This window comes from Homo sapiens, chromosome 3, assembly GCF_000001405.40.
Source record: "Homo sapiens chromosome 3, GRCh38.p14 Primary Assembly".
Classification (NCBI taxonomy): domain Eukaryota; kingdom Metazoa; phylum Chordata; class Mammalia; order Primates; family Hominidae; genus Homo; species Homo sapiens.
The window spans coordinates 101197385-101202178 of NC_000003.12; the positions used below are offsets into that span (position 1 = coordinate 101197385).

The 4794-nt window shown below is 37.5% G+C and overlaps 1 non-coding gene across 1 annotated transcript, besides 1 other annotated feature; it reads left to right on the plus strand.

Moving 5' to 3' along the window:
- Nucleotides 955-1456: an enhancer, noted in NCBI's record as "OCT4 hESC enhancer chr3:100917183-100917684 (GRCh37/hg19 assembly coordinates)". NCBI's record gives its function as "activates a minimal SCP1, AML or CMV promoter by ChIP-STARR-seq in naive H9 embryonic stem cells {active_cell/tissue: H9 hESC(naive)}" and the evidence as "EXISTENCE:reporter gene assay evidence [ECO:0000049][PMID:30033119]".
- LOC124906356 (small nucleolar RNA U13) lies at nucleotides 4448-4551 on the plus strand. The gene has a single exon (XR_007096324.1). It is a non-coding gene; the product is annotated as a small nucleolar RNA U13 (small nucleolar RNA).
- The last annotated feature ends 243 nt before the right edge of the window (nucleotides 4552-4794 follow it).

Sequence of the window (4794 nt, forward strand, 5' to 3'; positions counted from 1 at the left end):
TCTTTATTCAGAGTTCCACAATATTACCACCAAATGGTAGTCACCCACCCTCTGCTCAGACACTTCCGGAGACAGGAACTCAATGTCTGCAAAGACACTTTGTATTTTGGATGGGGAAGGGAAGTTGAAGCAGTAGGGAAGTGTTGGAAAAGGAGATTCCAGAGTTGTGCTGTTCAATAGGTCGTCACTATCCACCTGTGACTATTGAGCACTTGATATGTGGCTAGTCCAAACCGAGGTGTGTTGTGATTTTTGAAACCTTAATACAAAAAAAGATGTAGAATATCATTAATTCCTTATAATGATTACATTGTGAAATCATAATAGCTTGTATCCACTAAGACAAATATTTTATTAAAATTAATTTCACTTTTTTCCGTTTACCTTTTTAATGTGGTACTAGAACATTTAAAAGTATGTATATGGCTCACATTATATTTCTACTGGGTGGCATGGGTCGAGAGAACACATTTTGTCTTTCTTTCAATTCAGCAAAACAAATAAAATGTCTTTAGGAGACACTAATATGGAAACTCTGGTCTGCTTTGAGTATGAAAATCAAAATCCCTACTCAATAATTTGAATCCTGTCCCCTCTGTTATGGTGCTTGTGTCTGTGTCTGTTCTTGGCTGTGAAATGGAAAAAATATTTTCTTCTTTTCCTTATCTCTACAGAGAGTCATAGACTCATCATGAGCCTCTCATAATGACAGTCTCTTATTGTCCTGGAAACAGTGTACAAGGAGAGCTGCCTCAGCTCAGTGAAAGGAATGGTTTTTTTTTTTTTTTTAATTATACTTTAAGTTTTAGGGTACATGTGCACAATGTGCAGGTTAGTTACATATGTATACATGTGCCATGCTGGTGTGCTGCACCCACTAACTCGTCATTTAGCATTAGGAGATATACCTAATCTCCCCCCTCCCCCCACCCCTCCCCCCTCCCCCCACCCCACAACAGTCCCCAGAGTGTGATGTTCCCCTTCCTGTGTCCATGTGTTCTCATTGTTCAATTCCCATCTATGAGTGAGAACATGTGGTGTTTGGTTTTTTGTCCTTGCGATAGTTTACTGAGAATGATGATTTCCAATTTCATCCATGTCCCTACAAAGGACATGAACTCATCATTTTTTATGGCTGCGTAGTATTCCATGGTGTATATGTGCCACATTTTCTTAATCCAGTCTATCATTGTTGGACATTTGGGTTGGTTCCAAGTCTTTGCTATTGTGAATAGTGCCACAATAAACATACGTGTGCATGTGTCTTTATAGCAGCATGATTTATAGTCCTTTGGGTATATACCCAGTAATGGGATGGCTGGGTCAAATGATATTTCTAGTTCTAGATCCCTGAGGAATCGCCACACTGACTTCCACAATGGTTGAACTAGTTTACAGTCCCACCAACAGTGTAAAAGTGTTCCTATTTCTCCACATCCTCTCCAGCACCTGTTGTTTCCTGACTTTTAAATGATTGCCATTCTAACTGGTGTGAGATGGTGTCTCATTGCGGTTTTGATTTGCATTTCTCTGATGGCCAGTGATGATGAGCATTTTTTCATGTGTCTTTTGGCTGCATAAATGTCTTTTGAGAAGTGTCTGTTCATATCCTTTGCCCACTTTTTGATGGGGTTGTTTTTTTCTTGTAAATTTGTTTGAGTTCATTGTAGATTCTGGATATTAGCCCTTTGTCAGATGAGTAGGTTGCGAAAATTTTCTCCCATTTTGTAGGTTGCCTGTTCACTCTGATGGTAGTTTCTTTTGCTGTGCAGAAGCTCTTTAGTTTAATTAGATCCCATTTGTCAATTTTGGCTTTTGTTGCCATTGCTTTTGGTGTTTTAGACATGAAGTTCTTGCCCATGCCTATGTCCTGAATGGTATTGCTAGGTTTTCTTCTAGGGTTTTTATGGTTTTAGGTCTAACGTTTAAGTCTTTAATCCATCTTGAATTAATTTGTGTATAAGGTGTAAGGAAGGGATCCAGTTTCAGCTTTCTACATATGGCTAGCCAGTTTTCCCAGCACCATTGATTAAATAGGGAATCCTTTCCCCATTGCTTGTTTTTCTCAGGTTTGTCAAAGATCAGATAGTTGTAGATATGCGGCGTTATTTCTGAGGGCTCTGTTCTGTTCCATTGATCTATATCTCTGTTTTGGTACCAGTACCATGCTGTTTTGGTTACTGTAGCCTTATAGTATAGTTTCAAGTCAGGTAGCATGATGCCTGCAGCTTTGCTCTTTTGGCTTAGGATTGACTTGGTGATGCAGGCTCTTTTTTGTTTCCATATGAACTTTAAAGTAGTTTTTTCCAGTTCTGTGAAGAAAGTCATTGGTAGCTTGATGGGGATGGCATTGAATCTATAAATTACCTTGGGCAGTATGGCCATTTTCATGATATTGATTCTTCCTACCCATGAGCATGGAATGTTCTTCCATTTGTTTGTGTCCTCTTTTATTTCATTGAGCAGCAGTTTGTAGTTCTCCTTGAAGAGGTCCTTCACATCCAAAAGGAATGATTTTCTAACAGAGCTCTCCAGAGTGAGAATGATCAGCTTGATTCAACCCTACCCCAGTAAGTGAACTCTACATTTTATAATATCTGAAGTATCATCACAGCTAAAAATAGGAAAGGAAGAAAATGTTCTCAGAAACTCCCTGATAACAAAACAATAAATCTTAACCAATCATTATAAAAGTGTACTATTATTTTACCATTTGCCATAGCTTACACATATAAATCACAAGGAATAATTATTGAGTTGAAAGTGCCTATGATATTTAAGACAAGTGTAATCCTTAAGTAATACAGTGATAATTCTATTCTTAAAAATCCATTTGAGTATCATTTGACGTTGTACCTGCACTTTAAAAGTTTGAGTCTTTTTAACTGGTTTGTTGAACAGGCTTGAGACAGTAGGTAAAACATAAAATAATTTCACTTTACTTATTTTACTCCATGTCATGAATGTATGAATGTGTGCATGCCCTGTATCTCCCATTAGCTTTAGAGAGAAAGCACCCCCCCTTACACATATCCCCCACCACACACACGAACACAAACACACACACACACACAGGCTAATGGCTCAACTCTAAGGATTTTCCCTCCTCCAGTATTCAGACTAAAGAGATTTGGGTTGGGGTGAGAAGAGTCTGTATTGATTTGGGCAGAGTCAGATTTGTCCCCCCTTCACAAGCCCTAGAGGGTTATCTTCTCCAAAGCTGTGTTTTCACAAGCCCTAGAGGGTTATCATCTGCTTCAAAGCACAACAGAATTTGGCAACTGAAGTGTCCAAACTGTCAACTATGAAAAACGGTTTTAGGCAATACTTGAATTGCCATGTGACCTTAACACAGCAAATAACATAGGAAATGTAAAAAATGCATTTTCTGACATTTACAGCTATTAAACTTTAAGTTTAGTAACAAAGTGATTACAAGTGATTGCGACCGTCTTTAGAGGCTTTTAAGATCAGAAAAAAAGTCTTATCTATTTGAGCAGAATATTCCTTTTGACAGCAATAAAACTAAAGAAATTATCTAAGCTCCTTCTGGCTAAAATTTATGTTGCTAAGTTATTTCATGCAGACTTTCAAAGAGTGAGAATCTTCTTATCTTTAAGAATCTTTTCTTAAGGGTATTTCTTTCTATATTAGGGTGCAGAATTTGATTGGACTGCTGAGATAAGCGCTGTTCTATCAGTTTTAGGGCCAGGCACTCCAGGATACCTAGTTTGATTTCCTAAAGAAAGAGCAAACAATTCATTCTTTTATATGAGTGGGGAAACACAGCAGTGAGGTTTCTCTGCCAGGCACATGACCAAGTTCTCTGACCACCTGTAATCACAGTAGAAGTAGAGACTTCTCCTCATACTGTTCTACCAGAATTTGGCCCAACATAATTGAATAATTTTTAAAAGTTTGATACAATGTAGCTCTTTGGTTCTCACACTTAGCAAGCATCAGAATTACATGGAAAACATATTAAAATACACAGTGTTTGACCCCATCCCCCTAGCTTCTGATGCAGCAGGTCTGGGGGACATCTGAGATGTGCACTTCGGGAATGGACCCAGACAATGCTGATGCTACTGGTCCAGGGACACAATTGGAGAACGACAGATCTACATACAGATAATTATAACGAAGAAGTGCAGAGAGAAACCTGAGCAAGAGCTGTTCTTTGAGAATTCTGATTGAGGACTCCTTTCCAAATACAGATTTAAACAACTTATTGAGGTCATTCTGCAAACTATTAAACCTGAGCATAAAAATATGGCCCAGAAAGATGGGTTTTCCATGCCTGATTAAATGAATAACTTGCTAATGTGGAGCATAACATTTGACTTAAAATATAGCCATTATGCAGGGTGATCATTTCCAGCAGGGAAAGCCCTAGAAAAACAAACCGTATTCCTCAAACTTCAATCAGTGTAAAAAACAATTCTCAATTCTTTTGTGGTTTATAAGCATAATGGTTGGGTTTTTATATGCATGTGTGAAATGTACTTCCCTCAAACCTTGTTACAATGTCAGCACATTACCCACCTGACATGAAAATAATAAAGTAAAATAATTATCCTTTCATCATTCAGTGGCTCTTTTTGTTTCCGTAATATATATTTTATGCTTAAGTATACTTAGCTTCAAGTATCTTCATTTTTTCTTTTTAATAACTTAATCAGTACCAATGCTTCAAGTAACTTTACAAGAATAATTTTGCAATACTATCAAATACCTAGGATTTATATTTAAAATCTGGTTCACCTTGAAAATCTAATGATCTTCTAAATTATG